The sequence below is a fragment of the Homo sapiens genome, chromosome 12 (assembly GCF_000001405.40).
Source record: "Homo sapiens chromosome 12, GRCh38.p14 Primary Assembly".
Classification (NCBI taxonomy): Eukaryota; Metazoa; Chordata; class Mammalia; order Primates; family Hominidae; genus Homo; species Homo sapiens.
Genome location: NC_000012.12, coordinates 53,757,173 through 53,781,114, shown reverse-complemented (window position 1 = coordinate 53,781,114; position 23,942 = coordinate 53,757,173). Strand labels below are relative to the sequence as shown.

General features: G+C 44.2%; 1 long non-coding RNA gene across 10 annotated transcripts in view, besides 1 other annotated feature; it reads right to left on the bottom strand.

Moving 5' to 3' along the window:
* LOC105378250 (uncharacterized) overlaps positions 1 to 23,942 on the bottom strand; it is a 158,791-nt gene that overhangs the window by 117,270 nt on the left and 17,579 nt on the right. For 2 of the 10 annotated variants that reach the window (NR_189104.1, NR_189105.1), the window contains exon 2: positions 18,843 to 19,287. The exons of 6 other annotated variants lie outside the window; for them this stretch is intronic. This is a non-coding gene — a long non-coding RNA (uncharacterized LOC105378250). Of the gene's footprint in view, positions 1 to 11,150; positions 11,219 to 18,842; positions 19,288 to 23,627; positions 23,844 to 23,942 lie in introns of those variants that run through there. 2 more of the 10 variants (NR_189106.1, NR_189103.1) reach the window with 2 other exon arrangements.
* Positions 23,672 to 23,721: an enhancer, noted in NCBI's record as "active region_6429". NCBI's record gives its function as "activates an Ori minimal core promoter by ATAC-STARR-seq in GM12878 lymphoblastoid cells {active_cell/tissue: GM12878}" and the evidence as "EXISTENCE:reporter gene assay evidence [ECO:0000049][PMID:35858748]".

Below are 23,942 nucleotides of genomic sequence, written 5' to 3'. Positions count from 1 at the left end.
TTTGCCGTAATATTACCAGTCCCAATATTATGATTTCCTTGCAAGTAAGTGGGGTAGATACACAGTCAATTTTTAACTCATGGACTCTTTCTAAACTATAAATCTGATTGAGTTGTTCCCCCACTTAAAACCCTTCCGTGGTTCCCTTCTGCCCTCAGGATAAAGTCTAAAGTCCTTAGCCTAGCCCTTCCCAATTTCTTCATAATTTCACTCTGCTTATTCCTCTAGTACCATCATCTTCCCAGGTCGTGCTCCTGCCATGCAGTTCCACTCACCCTGCTCCCCTGCCTCTAATCCCCGCTCGGCCCTTTCACTCAGCGGATTCCTACTTATTTTTCAATTCCCAGTTTAGAAATTGCTTCCCTGGGAAGCCTCCCCTGGCTTTTTCTCTGGATTAGGTGCCCTTCCTATATCCTCTCATAGCATCTGTGCTTGCCCCACTTGGCATAAATTATCAAGATTCCAGTTCAGCTGCCTGTCTCCTCCACTAGACTCTGAGTTAGGAGCTAATAAATATTTGTTGAACAAATGTACAAACAGAGAAGAGAAAACCTGAAAGAGCAGATAATCCAAAATTCCTATCTGCTTGACTTTGAGATACATACTTTGTAGCCAAGCAACCTTTATAAATCTGACTCAGGTAAATATATAAATGGTATTACATTCCTTGTAGAAGGCAATCAAAATGAAAAGCGTGAAGGGAAAACCAACTGTGATAAAACCTTGACCGCAGATAATTCATGGCATGTATAAGCCACATGTAGGCGATAAAGAATTGTTTGCCATTGTGGATGCTTGTTTTAGAAATATCAGCCTGCCTTGGATTGCAGGGAACCTTCTAACCCTCAGTTAGCAGGTCCCTACTTATCTGAAGGCATCATGCTCAGCTCTCCGTAGGACATCCCCTAAGCCAGAGGTTGTCACTCGAGGGGCCATAATTAAGATACCTGGGGAATATTTTCAAACTTCATATCCTTACCCTCTGGAGATTATTTTACAACTAGCCCCTTACTTCTTGTGACTGCTCTAAACCATCCCAAATGACAAGAACCTGTCCTAGATTTAAAAGGGACGAGACTCTAAAACTTTCCTTCACAGGAAGGCAGCGTAGTTTACTAGTTAAGAGTAAGAGCTCTGTAGATAGACTGCTGGGGTCAAATCTCAGCTCAACCATTTCACAGCTACATGATTTTGGACAGATTCTTATCCTTATTTTATTTATTTATTTATTTATTTATTTATTTATTTATTTATGTTTTGTTTTGAGACGGAGTCTTGCTCTGTCACCCAGACTGGAGTGCAGTGGCGCGATCGCAGCTCACTGCAACCTCAGCCTCCAGGATTCAAGTGATTCTCTTGCCTCAGCCTCCCAAGTAGCTAGGATTAAAGGCACTCGCCACCATGCCCAGCTAATTTTGTCTCTGGACAAATTATTTACCCTCTATGTGCTTTAGTTTCCACAACTGAAAAATGGGAGTAAATAAACTTCATAGGGTTGTTAGGAAGATCAAATGCAGTAATGCTTGAAAAGTACTTAGCTCAGTACTTAGCAAAACAATATGTACTTAATACAATCTACCTAATACTTAATATTAAAATTTGATCCAAAGTCCTCCAACTTTGAAAATGAATTCATCTTTTTAAATGTCTAGCCTCAAAATCACCCACTGAAACTTAAGCTTGTTGGCTGGCCCTCATGAGAAAATAAAGACTGTTTTATTCTGTATAATTTACCTTGAATCTCTGAGAACTCTAATCAGATACCCTTGGGCCTGCTACTGGTAAACACTTTGGAGGGTCCTAGTCTTACTGAGTTAGAGCAGGCATTGAAAAGGCCAAGGCTCAGCCAGGCACAGTGGCTCATGCCTGTAATTCCAGCACTTCGGGAGGCCAAGGCAGATGGATCACCTAAGGTCAGGAGTTCGAGACCAGCCTGGGCAACATGGCGAAGCCCAATCTCTACTAAAAATACAAAAAATTAGCCGGGCATGGTGGCAGACAGCTGTAATCCCAGCTTCTCGGGAGACTAAGGCAGGAGAATCACTTGAACCTGGGAGGCAGAGGTTTCAGTGAGCCAAGATCACGCCATTGCGCTCCAGCCTGGGTGACAGTGAGACTCCATCCCAAAAAAAAAAAAAAAGAAAGAAAGAAAAGGGCAAGGCTCAAATATTATAGCAAAAATAATAACTGACATTTATTGAACATTTACTATGGGCACTACATTGAGTATTTTACCTGTGCTTCCTCACAACAACTCTAAGAGACAAGTCCTATTGTTGTCTTCATTGTGTACGTTAGAAAACTGAGATTTAGATAAGCCAAGAACTCGTGCAAAGTCACACAGAGAACAAATGGTTGTGCCAGGATTTGAACAAAGACTGTCTGATGCCAAAACTCAAGTGAACTCCTATGCCACGCTGCCCTGCTTCCCTACCGCTCTGTTGGGATTGTACACAAGTTTCCTTCAACACCCCAATTCCTAAAATGGACACAGATTGAGAGGGAGGCCACAGATTCCCTTTAGTGGCTCTTTGGACCTCAAGAATACTGTCTTCTGTCCAGCCAGCCCTAAAAGGAAGAAATGATTAAAAGAGGAACACAGCATGAACAATTTGCTTCACGTTATTTCTGGAAGAGGCAGTACTGGGTACTACAGTAGTAAGAGCAAAGAATATTGAGTAATTTTCTGGAGTGGAGCCATAGCTCTTCTGCTTAACTGTATAAATTTTGATAACTTGCTTAATCTCTCTAAGCCTCAGTTCTCTTATCCATAAAATGGAAATGATAATATTTGCCTTACAGGATCAATATGAGAAATAAATGAGAAGATACAAACTATCACACACTGCTGGTGAGGGCCACCATCCTGGTACAGTCTTCATGGAATTAAATGTGCACACGCTCTCTAACCCAGCAATCCCACTGCTAGGTATACACCGCAGGAAAACTCTCTGGGTTCATAAAGAGGCTGAGATAAGGATATTTATCACAGCACTGTTTGTGGTAGTAAAAAGTTGGAGGCAACCCAAATGTCTATTACTAGGTGAATATGTAATAAAATCTACTGTATGAGCATAGCGGTCAGAAATAATGAAGTTGATTTCCATACAGCAACATAGATAAAGCTCAGAAACAATGTTAAGTGGAAAAAGTAAAAGCAGGATAAAGCATATAGCACAATGTCATTTATGTACATTAAAAAGCGGTCAAAATAACACTATATTTTTTAAGGATACAGATAGATCTATTTTAAAATGTAAATCAGATCATGTAATTCCTCTGCTCAAAACCTTCCCCTGGTTTCCCTCCTTATTCAGAGTATAAGCCAAGATCTGAGCTTACAGTGGTCCACAAAGTCTTGCATGATTTGCCACTGACCCAGCTACCTCCCAGCCTTCTGTTTCTCTCTCTTTTCTCACTCATTTTGCTCTGGGCATTGGCCTATACTGACCCTTCTGGCCTCCTAACATACCAGGCAAGACCTGCCTCAGGGCCTTTGTACTTGCTGTCCACCCACACCTGAACCACTCCTACCCTAGATGTCCATATGGCTGGTCTTTAATGTGCATTTGATGCACCACACGTTTCAGTGAAGCTTTCTTACATCACCCTGAAGAAAGCGGCAATCTGCTCCTGACCACCCACAATACAACTTATCCCCTACCCTGATTTTTTGTTTGCATAGCACTTATCACTATTTAACGTATCCACTCATTTATTTGTTCACAATCCTCTCACCCCACTAGAACGTAAGCAACACAAATGCAGGTTTTGATTGTTTTGTTCACTGCTGTGAACACCTACAACTGTGCACCTACAACTTCTCAGCACCTGCAACTCTGTTCAACACATAGCAGGCACTTTATATTTGGTGAATGGCTGAATGTCTCTAAATAAACATATAGAGTTTGGATTGGAAGAGCACTAACTAAATACATGAAAGCAGATGGCTCCCACAAGGAAAGGAAATGAGAAATAGAGGTGAGGGGTGAAAGGGAAAAATAGAAGGAACCGAAAAGGGGCCTTACATGGGTTTGAGTCAAAACCCATGACTCAAACAGAAGCATGCAGAACAAACAAACAAACAAACAACCAGACTGACAGAAGAAAAAGCAAACAGATGATTGGGACTCCTGAGAAAGCCTAACTGCAGCCCAGTGTCTAACAATAAAGAGAAACATCTTCCTTGAATGCAATTCTCAGAAATATCTTTCCCTGTGCAATAATCTGCAATTATTCTAATGGTTTATATTCAGTCTGGGTTCTTCAAACCAGCTGTCAGAGCCCCTTCCTAATCATGCCCACCTCTACCCTCAAGCCTATTACCCCACTCCTAACTCAGCTCCTCACATTGTGACTTACCCTGCATGCAGCAAGTTTGGCCTGCATCAATTACTGGTGTGGCCAAGAGGTGCCCTCCTCACTCCTTTCTATCTGGTCTTGGCCCTCTAGCTCTTCTCAATCCTATTCTACAATCTTTCCCCCACTTCTAGAAGCCTTCCCTATGCCATCCTGACTGATTTCCCTATCTCCAACCTTCCTTCCCATTTCATCAGCACTGACAGCTAACCCTGATGCTCAGCCGAAATTAGTTTTCCCTTTCTGTCTGATGGTGTCCTGGGTATGTCCCTTAAATTCCTTTATATCTAAAAGCCTCCAGAGGGCAGGGCCATGATCTATGTACCTGTTCCTTCCGAATTCCATGCTCCCACCACCGACCCTTGCTACGCAGGACAAGGATCTACTCAATTGTACCGAGCAACCAAAAGAGACACTTAGGACAGAGAAAATAAACACATAGCTGTATTGATTAACAACTATGTCTTGGGATGCCTAGAAATAGGAATTTTTTTTTTTGAAAGAGAGAAAGGGCCAGACAGAGGTGGGAACAGGAGACTAGAATACGCACAATCTTCTATTTAAAGAGCATTTCCTAAGGATATTTCCTAATAAGGGCCCTGGGCCTGTGGATCTCAGTTTAATTAGGAAACAGTCTCTCCCAAAGGAGGTGCTTGGCCCAGGGGAGGTGCTTAAAGAAATACAGAGAAAGGCCAGAGAACATGAAGCCAGCTTGTATGAATTCCATCATGCCCCTGGCTCCCTCCTTCCCTCCCTTCTACTCCCTGTGTTTCTCTCATTCTCTGAGCTCTTTCCAAACTCCAAAACAAAAGTTCCATCCCAAGTAGCCAAGAAGAACTCATGTCGAATCCAACAATCCGCCCACTACATTGAAGGCTGTCTTGTTTTCCCAGCCAACCCCACCCACTCTCCTTCATCCTGAAGGTCATTGTGTTCATTCCTCTGTCTCTAAGAAGGGCACTACCCTCACTCAGGACCTTTCCTTTTCAAAACATTTTTCCAAGGAAGTAAGTTCCACTGGTTCCCGTGCTGGGGTGCTAACAATCTTGCCAATCCGGAAGTTTGGCCTCATGGCTCCTGCTGAACAACTTCAAATAGAGTGTGGACACAAAGTGCTCTCCTAGAAACTTGATAAACGTTCACGAGAGGAAAGCAATGGAGCTGCTACATAATTATTTCAGGTCTCAAAGCTTCCAAGAAGTGGACTTTAAAATGCAACATCTCCTAGAGATTATATCAATCTCTTTGCTTGTAAATACAACTCCTTTCCTGATCCCAAATTATATAAGTTTGCTCTTCCTTAAAATTTCCAGAGAATGAAAACTCTGGAGCCAGTCAAACCAATGTCTCAAAAAAAAAAAGAAAAAGAAAAAAAAGTAAAGGTTTCTGGATATCTAAGCTTTCCCAGAGTTTCCAAAGCCCTGACTCAAGTACCTCTGCAATTATGGTTGGAGGCAATCAGAAATACAAGAGTAGAGGCTTTGTGTTCAAGGTGACCGCTTTAAATAATAATAACCATGGCGTACGCAGTGCACCAACAGCTCTAAATGCAAACAGTTCAAAACACGTAAGAAAAGGTAAACTGTATAAAAGCCATCATGAACACAGGGTCTGAGTTATATATCCAAGGTCTAGAAGAAATTAGTTAAGGCCAAACAAAAAACAGAATCTTCTCATATTCTCTTTCTGTGTGTGCCTTCTCTAGAAGTCTATGTCTAGTCATGGTCCCTTATTCATTCATTCAACAAATATTTACCGGTCCTCAACTATTCAGCACTGGGGATACAGCAATTAAAACACACACACAAAAAAATCCCTCCACTCAAGTCACTTACATTCCAGCAAGAAGAAGCAAACAACAACAAGTAGTAAGAATACATATTGTGTTAGGCCGGGCGCAGTGGCTCACGCCTGTAATCCCAGCACTTTGGGAGGCTGAGGCGGGTGGATCACGAGGTCAGGAGATCGAGACCATCCTGGCTAACACGGTGAAACCCTGTCTCTACTAAAAATACAAAAAAATTAGCCAGGTGTGGTGGCGGGCACCTGTAATCCCAGCTACTCGGGAGGCTGAGGTAGGAGAATGGCGTGAACCCAGGAGGCAGAGCTTGCGGTGAGCCGAGATCATGCCACTGCACTCCAGCCTGGGTGACAGAGCAAGACTCCATCTCAAAAAAAAAAAAAAAAACAGAATATATATTGTGTTAGATTGTGGTTTGTGCTGTAAAGTAAAGCAAGTAAAGGTTAGGATGTGATCAGGATGGGAGTTGAGATTTTAAAACAAGTGGTCCAAGAAGGCCTTGCTGAGATGACACTTCACCAGCAGCCAGGAGCAGGTGCAGGAAAAAGCAATGGTGCAGATCTCTGAGAAGTGCAAATATAAAGACTCTGGCCATTGTTTATAGTGGTAAAATGTACATAACATAAAATTTACCATTTTAACTGTTTTTAAATGTGGCATTAGGCCAGGCATGGTGGCTCACACCTGTAATCCCAGCACTTTGGGAGGCCAAGGCGGGCAGATCTTCTGAGACCAGGAGTTTGAGACCAGCAAACATGGCAAAACCTCATCTCTACAAAAAATAGAAAAATTAGCCAGATGTGGTGGCAAGCGCCTGTAATCCCAGCTACTCAGGAGGCTGAAGTGGGAGAATAACCTGAGCCTTGGGAGGTCAAGTCTGCAGTGAGCTGTGATCATGCCACTGCACTCCAGCCTGGTGACAGAGCAAGACCTTGTCTCTAAAAAAGTAAAAATAAAAGTATATAAGGCAGGGCGCAGTGACTCACGCTTGTAATCCCAGCACTTTGGGAGGCCAAGGCAAGTGGATCACAAGGTCAAGAGATTGAGACCATCCTGGCCAACATGGTAAAACCCCATCTTTACTAAAAATACAAAAATTAGCTGGGCGTGGTGGCAGGCACCTGTAGTCCCGGCTACTTGGGAGGCTGAGGCAGAAGAATTGCTTGAACCCAGGAGGCGGAGGTTGCAGTGAGGCAAGATCGTGCCACTGCACTCCAGCCTGGGCAACAGAGTGAGACTGCGTCTCATAAATAAATAAATGCAGCATTAAATACATTCACATGAGGGTCAATCATCGTCACCATCCACCTCCAAACCTTTGCCATCTTACCCAACTAAAACTCTGTGCCCATTAAACATTAAATTCCCATTCCCTCCTGCTCCCATTCCTTAGAAACCACCACTTTACTTTCTGTCTGTATGAATTTGACTATTCTGGGTACCTCATATAAATAGAATCATACAATATTTGTCTGCTTGTGTCTGGCTTATTTTATTTAGCATAACGTCTTCAAGAGTATCCGTGTTGTAGCGTGTATTAGAATTTTCTTCCTTTTTTAGAGTGACTAATATTTCTCTCTATGTATATACCACATTTTGTTTATCTGTTTGTTTGTCTATCTATCAATAGATGCTTGGGTTGCCTCTCCCTTTTGGCTATTCTGAATAATGTTACTATGAACGTGGGTGTACATATATCAATTTGAGTCCCTGCTTTCATTTCTTTTGGATATATTCCCAGAGGTGGAATTTCTGGGTCATATGGTAATTCTAAGTTTACTTTTTTAGGAATCACCAATTTACTGTTTTCCACGGTGGCTGCACCATTTTACTTGCCAACCAGCAGTACACAAAGGTTCCAATTTCTCCACATTCTCGCCAACACTTGCTATTTTCTGTTTTTTTAATAATAGCCATCCTGATGGGTGTGGAATGGCACCTGACCATCTTGGGCTGGCACAGAGTGAGATAGGAAGAAGTAGTCGGGGATGAGGTCAGAGAGAAATCAGGAGGCCGGATCATTCATGGCGGGCCATAGAGTCACTGTGAGGACTTTGACTTTCACACTGGGTATCATGGAAACCCTAGATGAAGTGGCAGTTTTGCATATTGGCTACTGATTGTCATGTTCTTTGAACTAAGTATTTGGTTCTCAAACTATGGAACAGGCCTCCTCCAGAGTTTAAAAATACAGCATAGAAATGGGTTCTGCAGAGTTCTCCACAGACATCTCATGGTTCTGACAAAAAAGTGAGAGCTAAACAAGCTGAGGCCCTCTCCCACCAGCCTCCCTCTCCAGATGCCATATACCCACCCATGGAAGAGTAACATGATGGATTACTTTCATCCAGATTGTTCACTTCATGGATTATCTTTAGCCAGGATTCAATCACTTAAAAAAAATAATAATCTTCGTCTCATTCACTATTTTGGATTATCTCCTCCATTTTTCTTGGTAACCAAGAGCCGATATGGAGATGAAGGATACTTTTTCCCAGAAACTGGTGAAATTAAGGACTGCAAAGACAAAGGCAGGTAGATTCTCAGAAAAGGGGCAGGAGCAATGTGAATCAGGCACTCACCAGCCTTGCAAAATTAAATAGATGAATTCAGTCCCAAGCCCTGGATGCCTCAGCAAGGATTGTCAGAAATGTCTGAGATGATCAGAGCTAGGGAGAGAAAGGGCCCCAAAGGGAAGCCTGAAAACACATTTTTGAGAGGCAGAGAGTACCTCTCATAACCTCACTTCCCCCAGGCAACAGGGATGAAAGCTTCTACATCAAAATGAGAAGTCCAAGGAGTTATAGATTTTCTCAACAATAAATAATCTGGAGAGAATGGCCTCCCAACCACCGTTTATAAATGCTAGAAAATACACACTTGTGTGTGGTGAGGGCAGGGGGGTGGAAAGTGGAGAAAGAGAGAATTATGGAGTTGTCCCCTCTGGGAGAGGAGGAGGGCCAGAAATCAATTTTCACTGTGGCATTCTTAGGATTCAAATGGGGGCTAGGAGAGGGAAGTATGGTCAAATCTGGGAACCTAAATGACTAATTTTTCTCAGTAAGCAAACAGGCCAGGTACTCTAGGATTCTGTGTGTTATTTTTCCTTCCATCTGAGGACCACCTTGTTCATCCCCCTGTCTCTACACAGTATGAACACCACCACCACTCGCCCTGGGTAAACAGAAACTCCGTGGCTTCCCTCAGGCCATAGTCCCTCCCTCATATTCCCTTCTCGGTGGTCTCATTAAAGAAGTCTTGGGTTACCCTTTTCAGCCCAAAGATTTATAATAAAAATGAAACTAGGATTTAGGAGAAGGCTGCTCTTCTCTCTCTCTTCAGGTAGAAAAATAATGGACCTACATGGCAGTGAAAGTTTTAGGTCATTCATTCATTCATTCAATAAGTATTAAGCACCTACTATATGCCAGTCGCTGTGCTTGGTGCTAAGAACACAACAGGCAGGGGAAAGACATGTTCCCTGTCTACGTGGCACTGTCTTTAAAAATGTTCTTATCTAATCCAAAAGTGCCAGAAACGCCTAATCTGAATCTAATGATGAAAATAATCCGTCAAATTTAGACCCAGTGACTTTCTACAAAACAACTGACCAGTACTCTTCAAAACTGTGAATGCTATGAACAACAGGCTAAGGAATGATTCCAGATTAAAGGAGAATAAAGAGGCATGATAACAAAATACAGTGCATAAACTTCAATTGGATCAGGGCTAGGGAGAAACATTTCACTATAAAACAAATTATTCAGCTAGCGCAGTGGCTCACACCTGTAATCCTAGCACTTTGTGAGGCCAAGGAGGGCAGATCACTTGAGCCCAGGAGTCTGAGACCAGCCTAGGCAAGATGGTGAAACCCTGCCTCTATAAAAAAAAAAAAAAAATTAGTCTGGCATGGTGGCATGTGCCAGTAGTCCCAGTTGCTTGGGAGGCTGAGGCAGGAGGTTCACCAGAGCCCAGGAGGTAGAGGCTGCAGTGAGCTGTGATCATGCCACTTGCACTCCAGCCTGGGCAATAGAGTGACACCCTGTCTCAAAAAAAAATCAGTGGACAATTAGCAAAATTTGAATAGGCACTGCTTTACATATGTGTGTATATATACACACATATATATATATGAGAGAGAAGGGGAGAGCACACAAATGTGGCAAAATATTAGCAATTTGTCAATCTTGGTGAAAAATGAATGGGTATTAATTACACTATTTTACAACTTTTCTGTAGGTTAATATTTTTCAAATTAAAAGGTTGGGAGGAAAACAAGAATATTCCAACAGTAAAGGTTATGGATTTTTCTTCTCTGAATAATCTTATAAACAAACTTGCCATCATTTTTTTATTGGAAGGAAATCCTATCCAGATGATCTAGCCCTGAATCAAGAACTCTAGATCAGAGAGGTGGGTGGGAAGATAGAACTCCTTTGTCTCTGATTTACAACCAAAATTGTCAGCAAGTAAAAATGCCTGGAATGAAACCACAACCTTGACTCATGTTAGTATGGTTATAAAAAGTACATACTGTTATTGCCATTTTGTGGGACTAACACAAATTAATAAATCAGAGCTCTAGGCTTGAATGCTAAGAAGCATTGGGGAAGATGTGCAGAGGCTGGAGACAGAGCAAAATATCTGTCAAATGGCATGCCAGGGATAGAATTATGTGCAAGAATTAGAGTTACGTGGAAAGAGGGGTGAAAGGAACCAGAATGTGTTGAGCTGCAAGCAAGGTTCATATGCTATTTCATTTAACCCCTATTTACTCCATGACAGAAGTATTATTCTTTGATCTTGAAGATGAAGAGAGGTTAAATAACTTTTTCAAGATCATATAGCCAGTAAAAAGAAGAGTTAGAATTTGAACATGGTTCTTCATGAAGTCAAAGCCCATGTTCTTCCTACTGTGGCACCCAGTCTCCACAAAGAACAAGGAGTCTAAGGGCATGGCTATTAAAAGAGGATTTGAACCAGTTCTTACCCTTATGCCCAGGTCATCCCCTGCCAATGTCTTCTCTTTCCTCCCACATAGACACTGATAGGCCAGAGCTGGAAGCAGAGAAATCATTAAATCTGAAAGTTCCATCTTAACCATTTCCTGCTAAAATTCTAATCCAATCAGGTGCCAAAATTCTCCAGACAATCTTTTTAGATGCCAAGAAAGGAGATTCCAAAGCATCCCTGTAACTATTCCAATAGTTCATAGACACAATTTTACATCTAATTATAATTCCTACTCCCACAACTTTAACCCATTGGCTTTTGCTTGATTTTTAGTGGAAAATACAGGATAAAAGATCTCTAGATGCCAAACATAAGTAACCCCTCTGAGACTTCTTCCATCACACTGTTCTTTCATCATATTCCAAATCTTGTCTACTCACTACCTCATTCTTGAGAGGAAAAAAACCATCTTCAGTGCAGGTTAGGAAGTGCTAGAGAAGGAAATGAAAGCTTGATTTTCACTGGCCAAAGGAAAATGGGGTGGTGGGAAGGGAAGCGGGTATTTTTTTTTTATGGTAGCCCAATGGCAGGAAAATGGTTGCAATTTCCCTGACAATCTACATACCTCCAGATTTGGCCTTCCCAAACCTCAGCAGTCACCTAAGGATTCCAGATGCTACCAGCACACACCGTTAGGAAACATCTGTCACGAAGAACAGCCCCAACTGGGACAAAGGAGAGTAGGAAGGCAGACGGTGCCAGTTTAATGAGGATGGTTTAACAAAACATCTTTTAAGCTTTCTAATTCACTTGGCCATTTGCTCCCCAGACTTGGCTGCCAATCAGAAGCAGACTGTGGGGGGATGCTTGCCAGAGAATGGCAATCCCTGATCCTTAACTCAGGAGAACCCAGTACCAGAAAAATGTCAGCTTGTCAGTCATTCTAAAATATGATTAACCCCATTCCAGAGCTAACAATTCATGGTGATACTGGGGAGAAGGACTTGAGCTACGTGAGGTTGCTCGGTCTGGTTTGGTTGTTCTTGACAGCCAGAGGCCTTACTTAGCAGAATATCAAAAACAGGTATTAGTGTGCCCCATGTCCATGTCTAGCTCTGAGCTCATGACAACTAGAGCATTTCTAATATTTATTAATCATTCATGGAAATAATCATAAAGACCAATGGATATCCGGCATCAACACTGATCTCTTAGCCTTTCTATTTTTAGATTGCCTCGTTCTTTTTTAAGGTTATTAAAGAATATGAACTTGAGATAAGAAATAATGAGTTTTCTCAACATGCTATCAGTATAGGAAAATCCATGAAGAAGATAAATTACTTTTCCATTTCAGTTTCCAAGGGAAGAAAGCCCCAGATATGGCCAAAGACAAGGGGATTGGCAAAGCAGCCTCAAAGCATCCTTATTTTATTCGGGGGCGTTGCATGAAAATTTGGATTAAACCTAAGGAATCTCAGCTGAAATCACTGGTTTCAGATATATATTTTCCAAGGCCTGAATTCAACCTAGCTGACATGCCATTTTTCCCACCAGAACTCTATCTAGTAGATTCCTACAGTTGGCAAAGACTGCATCCCAGCCTCCTGCTATACTCCCTGATCCACCCTCCTGGCCTTTAACGTTGGTAACTCTAAACAATGAGATCCTCACAGATCTCACTCAGATTCACCCCAGCAACCATCAGAGAGTGCTGCCCTTCTTTTTTTTTTTTTTTTTTTTTTTGAGACGGAGTCTCGCTCTGTCGCCCAGGCCGGACTGCGGACTGCAGTGGCGCAATCTCGGCTCACTGCAAGCTCTGCTTCCCGGGTTCACGCCATTCTCCTGCCTCAGCCTCCCGAGTAGCTGGGACTACAGGCGCCCGCCACCGCGCCCGGCTAATTTTTTGTATTTTTAGTAGAGACGGGGTTTCACCTTGTTAGCCAGGATGGTCTCGATCTTCTGACCTCATGATCCACCCGCCTCGGCCTCCCAAAGTGCTGGGATTACAGGCGTGAGCCACCACGCCCGGCCGAGTGCTGCCCTTCTTTAAAGCAGGCTACAGCCCTAAATCACATTCACCATGATTGCTGCATTGCAGCAGATAACTGAAGTGTGAGTGCCCTCTACCCTCCTTCTGGAAAATGACACGTTCTTCAAGGATTGAAAGCAACACACACACACACACACACACACACACACACACACACCCTACACCTTCTCCCTACCAGACCTGCAGTTTTCTGCTCTCTGTTAAATCCAAACTTTTAAGATTGTATTTCCAGATCTTTCTTTTCATTGTTCCCCTAACCGTTACTCTTATTATTAACCTTTTCTGTGGCTCTTTGCTTGAACAGGACCAATCTTTCCCCATATACGAACATCTTGCTATCATCACCTCAACCATCACATGGACAGTCCCTCTCTGCCTAGAACACCCTTTTTCCAAACTGTTCAACAAGACTCTCCTTCAGGAAGCATATCTAACCACACCTACAGATATCTGACCTCTCTGCTATGCCCTCTTTGCCTGCTCTCGTCCCCTCATTACTGTCCAGAGTTCTGTCCATTTGCTCCTAACTTGTTTCCTTGCTGCACTGCCAGTGTCTGTGCCTTGATTATGTGTCCAGCCTTCTCCATCAGACTGACCTCCTCTGCTCCCCGTTCCTTTGGATTGGTTGGCAGTGAATATGGGTCTCTTGCACAGGAGGTTTTAGGACAGAATGGCATAACTCACTGGCCTAGAACTTTGCACTGGGAAGACGCCTGGTTAGAGAAGAGGGTAGCAGTGGTAGATGGTTAGGTGCAGCGAAGTAGCACAGCTCTTGCCTGATGACACTTTCAGCTTGCCTCTTCTTCCCCAGCTGAAGCCTGAGGTATAGAGTTAACTGGCCACAGCCAAGGAAGCACCCCATGATCTACAGCCCAATGTGGTGACAACAGAGATAATGAAACAAGAATGCAGGTCCAAGTCTCTTCCACACCACAAAGTGAAAATGCAAAGGAAGTAACCCAAACTGGCTGGGACTAAGGACGTTATCTGTGACACTATTGGCTCCAGTGTCATCCCCTTGAAGTCCAATGACCAAATTGACAAACAATACAGTTTTATTACTTTCATTGCTTTAGTTAATTGTGAAAATAAGTCACCTAATACTTTGGCTTTAGGCAACCTGGTGTGATACTCAAACTGCAATAAAGAAATCTCAGCTTAGACTGCAGAAAGGAGGGGTGCTCCAATGATCAAATGGTTGAATATTGTTTAGAATAGGACTTTCATTTGTTTTGGGAGGATGGGGAAGTGTCCATGAAGTACTTTTATATTGTAAGCTCCTAGGAAAGAGAATTTTCTCTGTTTACTACCATTTGTCCTGTACTGTCTATAAATAAGTTCACAGATGCATTCTGTTTAGTTTGGATTGGGTCTACAGTGAGAAATTGGATGACCTCTATATGGTTTGATGTTTCCCTCAAGTGAATACCACTGAAAGTTTCTAAGTGACAAAGGCTGGATTCAAACTACTGAAAATCAGATTTCAACTAAGTGTAAGTGAATACAAAGACAAATTCCAAATTAGAAAATTCAAGCACCAAAATGATTCCTTTTGCAAAGGAATTCGAGCAAAAGCAATGTCTTTTTTCCCTAAATTATTACCACCACAACGACCACCAAATCACCACACACTCACACACAATGCAAGACAAATGGTGGCAAATAAAGAATTCCCCTCTTTGGGAGCTTACATTTAAGAGATTTTGTGGCTACTTCCCCACTCCTCAAAATAAGTAAAAGATATGTAAACCATGGACTGAAACGTATAATCCTCAATCAGAAATACACAGAAAAGTGTTTATATCAGAGGCAAGGGCATGCCAAGATCCCAGATGACATCATAGTTGACAGAAGATATGAGTGGGAAGGGCTTCATTTTCCAGTGTTGGCAAGATTAGGGAGTATCTTCCCTGCACCTCAGGTCAGTCTGAGAAACCTTCGTGGAAGAGGGGGTAATTGCTCCATATGGGGATTTGGTTTCCCTGGGAAACATCAGTTCAGTCTACATCTTCATGGTGGTGAGAAGCTTTGCTATGAGCCAATAAATCAAACCTCACTTAGGCCTTCCTTCCATGCCTCCCATCAAAAACAAAAATAAATAAATAAATAAACTCTACATATGCTTTGAACCAGTAAATCCAGTTCGCTTAACTGCACTTATCCAGTTAAATGTTTACTACAGATTCTAATACAAATCTAAATACCAAAATATAATAATAATAATTCTCAGTCTTGGTCTGTGCTGAAAAGGAAAATAGAAAGAAACAATTTCAGTACCAATGAATGTGTTACTTCTCCGTAGGGAAAGAGAAGTAAAGCTGAGATGGCTTCCCTAAAAGGTTGGAAAGAAAGCTATGGTAACCAAATCTAGCTCAGACTAAAGAAAATAAATATCCAAGCTTATCTCCCAGGAGTCTTCTGAGAATGACCCCACAAAACTGACTGCTTATCAGGCATCCTCCCACACCTGTGAACTTTCTGTGTCCTGAATTCTGTCTGAATGATACTTGAGAGAATACTTTGTCTCCCTATCTAAAAAAAAAACTCCTTAGGGTAGAAACTGTTTTATGTTCACACACTAAGCTAGAAATTATAATTCTGCAATAAATATTACTAGCTCAACCAAGTATTGAACTTGAAAACTATGACAGCCCCCGAACTGCTCAGGAGACCAAGGGGAAACACAGCCACCTCCTCCAATTCACCTACCTACCCTACCACCCCAGCACTGCAACTCTTAAACCTCATTCTAGCTGGGCAGAGGCCAAATTCCAAGAAAACCCATTCTGATGTAGACCAATCCACTACAGGCCAAATGTACACCAAAATGATGTAGACAAAATCTATCCAGATGTAGACAAAATTCATCTAGATGCAGACCAAAACATTTTTGCTTTCTTCCCTCCGTATTATGCAGTCCCAGCTACATGCAGACACTACACTAGTACCATTGTGCTATGATTTGGGTAAATAATCAGACATCCAAAGCTTCTCCAGAGGCTACGCATACTTCCTATTATCTGGTGTCATTTCGGAATGGTTGTGAATAAGGTGGCTTTTCTGAGTCTCTCTGGGACAACTTCAGAGATGGCAGAGTCAAATCCGGATCTCTTCATTCAAGATTTGACACATTCACAGGTTTAGTTTTAGTCAGAATCCAATTTTGGAAATTCTTAACATTTCTATCACACCAAAAAAGATTATCAACTTGACAAATCAGAAAAGCCTGGGCTTCTGCTTCTAGAGCTCTTCAGAAATTAGATGGGCTACCAGGATGAATCAGAATTAGATTTTCCAAACAGAATCACAACGAGAACTGGGAAAAGCCAGGGAGGGTGTAAAAGATTAGAGATTTAGGCTGGGCACAGTGGCTCAAGCCTGTAATCCAAGCACTTTGGGAGGCCGAGGTGGGCGGATCACGAGGTCAGGAGATCGAGACCATCCTGACTAACCCTGTGAAACCCTATCTCTACCAAAAACACAAAAAATTAGCCAGGTGTGGTGGCACATACCTGTAGTCCCAGCTACTCGGGAGGCTGAGGCAGGAGAATCGCTTGAACCCAGGTGGCGGAGGTTGCAGTGAGCCGAGATCAAGCCCCGGCACTCCAACCTGGGTGACGGAGCAAGACTCCGTCTCAAAAACAAAAAAAAGAAAAAAGATTAAGAGATTTAAAAAGCGATGTGTGGCTGGGTGCGGTGGCTCACGCCTGTAATCCCAGCACTTTGGGAGGCCAAGGTGGGTGGATCACCTGAGGTCAGGAGTTTGAGACCAGCCTGACCAAACATGGTGAAACCCCATCTCTAAGAAAAATATAAAAATTAGCTGGGCGTGTTGGTGGGTGCCTGTAATCTCAGCTACTTGGGAGGCTGAGACAAGAGAATCGCTTGAACCCAGGAGGCCAAGGTTGCAGTGAGCCAAGATCATGCCATTGTGCTCCAGCCTGGGCAACAGAGCGAGACTCCCCCTCAAAAAATAAAAAAAGTGATGTGATACATTGAACAGCAAAAATCAGTTACTTTTCTCCCTTCCTCCCCTTTGATTCTCTACTCCCCTTTTCTCAACCCAGCATCGTATCAACCCAGCACTCCTCAGAAAAGTCCTCACAAGAAATTAGTAAAAGGAAATCCATCTGCATGTCCACCTTACTTTCCAATATGCAACTGAAACATAGGATGGCCTTTGTCTGCAATGAATCCTGATCCACACTCATTTTTTCTAAGAAGGCTTGCTAACCAAACTTGGTTCTGTTTCTTTCCCAAAACCCTTCATTTTCTTGTAAGCATAGACTGTAGAAGTCCACCCAGTGGTCCCGTCTATCACTATATCCTGTCTCTACTCTTAGACTAGCCATTGTGAATGGTCATTGTGAATGGCCCCTTCTTCCATGTATCTCCTCCCAACACCCACCATAATGTGCTACACACCAGGTAGCACAGGAAATTCCAGCTGTCTCTCTGGTTATCTTCCTTCATGCCTTCAAATGTATCATTCTGTCCTCCCCTGTAAATGGTTGGCTGTCTCTCTATCCTCTCTTACAAGGCTCTGCTGAATTCCTCTCATAGCCTTAGGCAGATGCTCCATACCCCCACCATCGCCCTTAGAAAGTTAATTTGTTTTATTTTGTTGTAGGAAAGATGTCAGGTCATCTGAGTTAAATGAAGGCTGTATCATATCTCAAAGTCCTGAGTTTTTATCCATATAGATCAATAGGACTTCTCCAACCAGAACCCACCTGCCTCACTCTTGCTTATTATGTCATAATCTACCACAAAGAGCCTCCGACAGCATGCTTTTTAGGGTACATTCCTTATCCTCATTCCCTGGTTCTTTCTATTCCCTCATCTGCCTTGTGATTTCTGTGATCATAAAAGAAAAAAGACCAGACACAGTGGCTCACACCTGTAATCCTAGCACTTTGAGAGGTCAAGGCAGGAGGATTGCTTAAGGCCAGGAGTTTAAGACCAGCCTGGGCAACATAGCAAGACCCCACTGCTACAAAAATACCCCTCCAAAAAATTAGCCAGGCATGGTGGCATGCATCTGTGGTCCCAGCTACTCAGGAGGCTAAGGCAGAGAAATCGCTTAAGCCCAGGAGTTAGAGGCTGCAGTGAGCCATGATCACACCGCTGCACTCCAGCCCAAACAACAGAGTGAGATCCTGTCTCAAAAAAAAAAAAGTGACAAAGATAAACCAAAAAAAAAATCAAAAATTATTTTTATTAACTTGGAATATACTTTTTAAAGGAAATTGGATTTTCCACATGATTTTGCTTAAACTAAGATTGAAATGAGTCTGCCTTCTGGAGACTCACATGTTAACTGATAATAGAGATGTTTTCCAAGAGCACTGGACGGCAAGAGAAAGTGAACCTAGAATTAAACAATTGCCACATATAGTCAATAACTCAGGTGTCATACATGGATAGGTATTGTCTGGGTTTCTGGTATTGGGGGTATTGCCGAAAGTGTATGTGTGTGGGAGGTGGGGAACAATTTAAGACTCCAAGGACCTTCAAAATTAAAGAGCTTTAAACATGTTTTGTGATAGAAGGAAACTGCCTCTTGGAGGCCAAGGAAGCCAGTCCTATTTCAGGCTTCTCTGCTAAGCCTTTATCAATCAATAAATATGCTTATCATGTATATAAAATTGATAGATTCCAAGAGAGAGAATGGAGCCATCAGGTTTCAAGGTTTATTTAGTGCTGGCTCATTTGCAATATACTTGGGACCTGAGACAAGCCTGCCTTCAGTGTTTTAAAGACCACTAGCAGCCACACCCCAACGGAATTTGGTAATCTTTCCTTCTATAGCTAATCTGTAATTCCCACCACTGCTTGTTTTTTATTGTATTCTATTTTTTTATTTATTTATTTTTTAGCTACTTGAGCACCTAGGAAGAAAACCCTCAAAGTCCTCTCTCTCATCATTGTGCACCACCTTATCAAACTGGAGCTGATATTCTGCAATGTCCACATCAGTGTCCTCCCTAAGTAGATGAGCCACAGATAGTTTCAGAATCTGAAGTGACACCAGGTGGTAAAACATGAAGGAGGCAGCAGACCCAGGTGGGAAAATCTTCATTCATTCAAACAACATGTCTGTGCACATACCATGTGCTGGACCCTGTGGGAAAGATAAAGATAAATAAAGCAAGCCCTAAATAAATAAACCAGGCCAGAAGGGAAAGCCAGGAATGGGGGCATGCAAAAAGGAGGGAAGGATGCTGGAGGAGGAAGGCTAGGAAATAACCTCCCCTAGCTTACAAGTTCCTAGGACCAGCTCTACTGAAGTTTTCTGGCTTGGAGTAGAATGGAATGTAGCCCCCAAATCACTCCACCCCCAGCAAACTTACCCACCCTCCTCAGGCCCACAAGGCCTCCTGGTCTGCACTCCTCAATCCAGAGCTCTGCCCTGGCACCATGGAATGCTCTCTGCTCAAAGCCCTCAGGGGTTCTACACTGGCACCACTCCAGACCCAGTCTGCTCAGCCTTCTTCCTCCCTGGCTATCTCAGTTATTTTACCAACCCCATAACCATGAGGAATCACTTATCCAGGTCTTTTTCTGGTTGGGGAAGAGGGCAGGAAGTGGGACCCCAAGGAGGCTGGAAGTAGTGGAACTTTTGAAGGGAGTTTAGGAAAGGGGAGGAACAGTGTGAAGGAGGTGGCATAGCCCAGAATCCAGGAAGAAAGCTGGAGGTAGGCAATGGGAGAAGCAGGGGCACCCAGTTCGGAGAGACAGTGGAGTGGAGGCTTAAATGGAACTTGGTTGGAGACCGGGCAACAGGAAATGGATTTTTTTTTTTTTTAAGATGGAGTCTCGCTCTGTCACCCAGGCTGGAGTGCAATGTCACAATCTCGGCTTACTGCAACCTCCGCCTCCTAGGTTCACCCGACTCTCCTGCCTCTGCCTACCGAGTAGCTGGGACTACAGGCGTGAGCCACCACACCCAACTAATTTTTGTATCTTTAGTAGAGACGGGGTTTCTCCATGTTGGCCAGGCTGGTCTTGAACTCCTGACCTCAGGTGATCCACCTGCCTCAGCCTCCCAAAGTGCTGGGATTACAGGCATTAGTTAGTTACCGCGCCTGGCCAGAAAATGGATTTTGAAGTAAGCATGTGTGCCAAGGGAGTACTGGATATGGAAGAGGCCCTGACTGGTTGAAGGAGAGGCTGGGAAGGGGTTGGTGCCTTGCCTGTGAAAATACGGGGATCGGGGCCGGATATGGTGGCTCACACCTATAATCCCAGCACTTTGCGAGGCCGAGGTGGGGGAATCACGTGAAGCCAGGAGTTCGAGACCAGCCTGGCCAACATGGCAAAACTTAGTCTCTACTAAAACTACAAAAATTATCCAGGTGTGGATTATGCCTGTAATCCCAGCTACTGGGGAGGCTGAGGCATGAGAATCGCTTGAACCTGGGAGGCGGAGGTTGCAGTGAGCTGAGATTGCGCCACTGCACTCCAGCCTGGGCGACAGAGGGAGATTCTGTCTCAAAAAAAAAAAAGATAAAATAAAATATGAGAGTCAGTCCCAGGTCCAGATAAAGAACCTCCACTCAGGAGCCCTTTCAACAAGGATAGACGCACCAGGCCCCCAACCTCTCTCGAAACACCCCTACTGGGTTCCTCTACCATCATCTCCCAATTCTCACCCCCCTACCCACATTGTCCCTCACCCCAGAAATAAAATTAAAAGGGAGCTGGTTTAGGCTTCACTGTGGGAGACCTCCTAAGACAGTCATTCATCATTCACAGCATATGTTAACTGACTACTCATTGATTATTGTGATGGAGGAAATAAAGATGAAAAAGATATAGTCCCTGCCTACAGAGTTTCCTGCTCTCTGGAATGGAGATATTCAAACAGTAGGGCTTCCAAGGCCCTGAAACAGGTGACCAAAGGAAGGTATCTCCTCTTTCCCTGATGTCAATCTTCAAACAGACGAGACTGGACTCCCAGGGACGGAATAGGTGGAGTCGGCATAGAGACTAAGGGCTGAATGGACAAGTGATCAGCTCAAGAAGCCACTGGTCTCAAGGGAAAGGAGTACTGCTGCCTTGACTCAATAGGGCTGCTAATCCTCTACACCCTAAATGAGATGAAAGAAAGACTGGGGTGGAGGCGAGAGAGGGGAGGAGAAGGGTAGAGGCAAGACTCTGGAAGTAGAGTCTATACTAATTATATACTAAGACATAATATTGGAATTAAAGCAGAGAGAATTGCTCCAGATCTCACAAAGAATTGCCAACTGAGAAAAACCTAAACATCACATTGACTTTGCGATAGTGCTTCTCTATTAGACATGGACCAAGGGCATTAACTGAGCACCTCCTTTGAGCCTGGCACTACGCTGGGTAGTGGATGAGTGGCCCCAGTCAAGACTATAGAGCCAGGATGCCTAGAGGCAAAGGAGACAGGCAGGAATTGGAAGGATGGCTCTAATGACAGAACAGTAGGGGAGGGGCATCTGGGTGCTTGATTTATGTCTGCTCCAACAGTCCTAAGCTGTCTTCCCCTGCCTCAAGCTGGGATTTTCCCAGATGTGCATCTGCTTGAGGGAAAGAAGGGCGGCACAGGGGGAGGGTCTCCATGTCCTTGCCTCTGGTCCCAAGAGCAATCCCTTCTCCTTTCTCCCTATGCTGTTCACTGCCTGCTGGGTAGAGGGTGGGAGGCTGGGGGAAATGCCAGGGCCCCCAGATAATCACCAGGTAATGAAAAGAACTGGCCCAGGGCTGGGGGGAATGCAGAAGATGCCGAGTTGGGGCTGTAAATCGCCCTGGGAGAAGGGGGTACAGAATGGGGGACCCTGACAGTTGGAGCCCATCCAGGTGATTTCGCATGAAGTATCTGAACCTTGAGGGGTGGGAGTGGGGAGGATGAGAGGCAGGCAGAGGTGTGAGCCAGAGAGAGGAGAAGACGCTGAAAGAGACAGGGAGAAGAGAAGCAAAAAGGAGAGATGAAAGGGAGGGCAAGAGATGGGAAGAGAGATGCGAAGAGCGATGGGGAGACAGCCAAACGAGACAGATGGGAGGGGAGGTGGATGGAGAGACTAAAAGGCACACACAGTGAAACTCATAAAGACATGATGGTATGAGAGACCCTCCCAGACTGAGGGAGGGAAGCGGGGAGGGAGAGAGAAAGGCTGACGGCGGACACAGTCCTAGAAAAACTCAGACCAAAAAATATGTGGAGTCAAGGAGATAGACAGAATGGCCGACAGACAGACAGACAGACCTGCCTGACAGAGGTGAGGGTGACGGAGGCAAAGAAGGAACAAAGAAAACAGGGTTGCAGTGAAAAGGGGGGAGGGAGTGAGACAAAGAGAGAGAAGGAGGCAAGTGTGGAGCAGGAGGAGGGAGTGAGGCCAGGGAGGGGGATATATATTTTCTTTATGATCCTCTTCAATCTCACTCAGCTCGCTGCTGAGCCGCTTCCCCTCTCAGGTGCTGCTCAGTGGCGGATGTGCTCAGAAAGCTGATATGCTGAGGCTCTCTCCCAGAGCCAACCTGGGGGGCTCGCAGAGACCCCTACATGGACATGACAACCCAACCTGCCTCCCTGTCCCCAAAAATGCTGCAGTCCAGAGAGGACTGAAGCCCAGCTCTTAATTTTTCAGAGCTAACGCAGCCTGGCACAACCAGTAGAAGGGGAAGTGGGGCAGAGGAGGAGGAGAAATAGAGGAAGGCAGGCAAGGGAGGCATGTTCTGGGGAGGGTGCTGGGGACAGTCTTTGGTCAGGGGTCAAGGGGAGAGGAGTAAAGAGAGGTAAGGACTGAGGAGAGATCTGCATTTGAGAATAAAATTAGCAGCATGCAAAGGATAAGGGAGATAAGACACCAGTGACGCCCAATTACTTTGGGGTCAACAATTTAGACACCTACTGAGAAGCCATGACCGATGCCTTCAAGCAACTCTCTACTAACAGACCCCACAAATATATACATGAAACCCATGAAAGGAGAAACTGAGGCATAGAGTAGAGATCCTGAGACCACTGAATGTGCATGAATCTAGGTTTTCAGGGACCACAGATAGAGTAACCAGCCAAGTTTCTGAAGACCTAAGACTTAGCATGACAACCTGGACCCTGCCTTTTTTCCCCAGGCTTTCTTGAGGCTGAGGAAGTAGCTGAGCTCTGCAAAGACCAGCTCCCCCAGCTCCTCTCACGGCCGGGGAAGACCCTAAGAACATTAACTCAGGCAATCTAAGGGGAAATTATCCCCACATCCACTCCTTCCCTGCCAGCCTCATGCAAGGTCCAAGAGGCCAGATGTCCCAGGATAGACAGAGCCTAAGGAGTCTCCTTAGCAGCAGGAATAACTTTATCACAGCTTATCTGGGCCTCCCAGAGGTAAATTGAAAGGCTGCGAGGAAACAACTGAGGTCCCTACCTATTCCTACACCCATCCCAAAGGGGTATGGGTAGAAGGCCAGGGGACAGAATCAGAAGGACTTCACAACCTAGGAGAAAAGGAGAAAAGCCGGTTCCCAGGCAACAGCTAGGTCAGTCAGTAGCTGAAAAGACCCCCAAGGCAGCTGTAGCTCTCTGTTCCTCGCCTGAGTCTCTCAAGCCTGCAACCGGGAAGCTCTGCAGTACCAGAGAGGGCCGCTAGGGAGTGCTCGCCAACAGCCAGGCTCCAGAAAGGAAGCAGCCGGCCAAGCCAAGAAGACCGGAAGGCAATCGATCAGAGTCGCCCTGGCAACCGGGCTGAGCCCGAGACAGACAGCACGTCGATAATGAAATCATCGTTAAATGACTTCAAGCCCTAATTAATA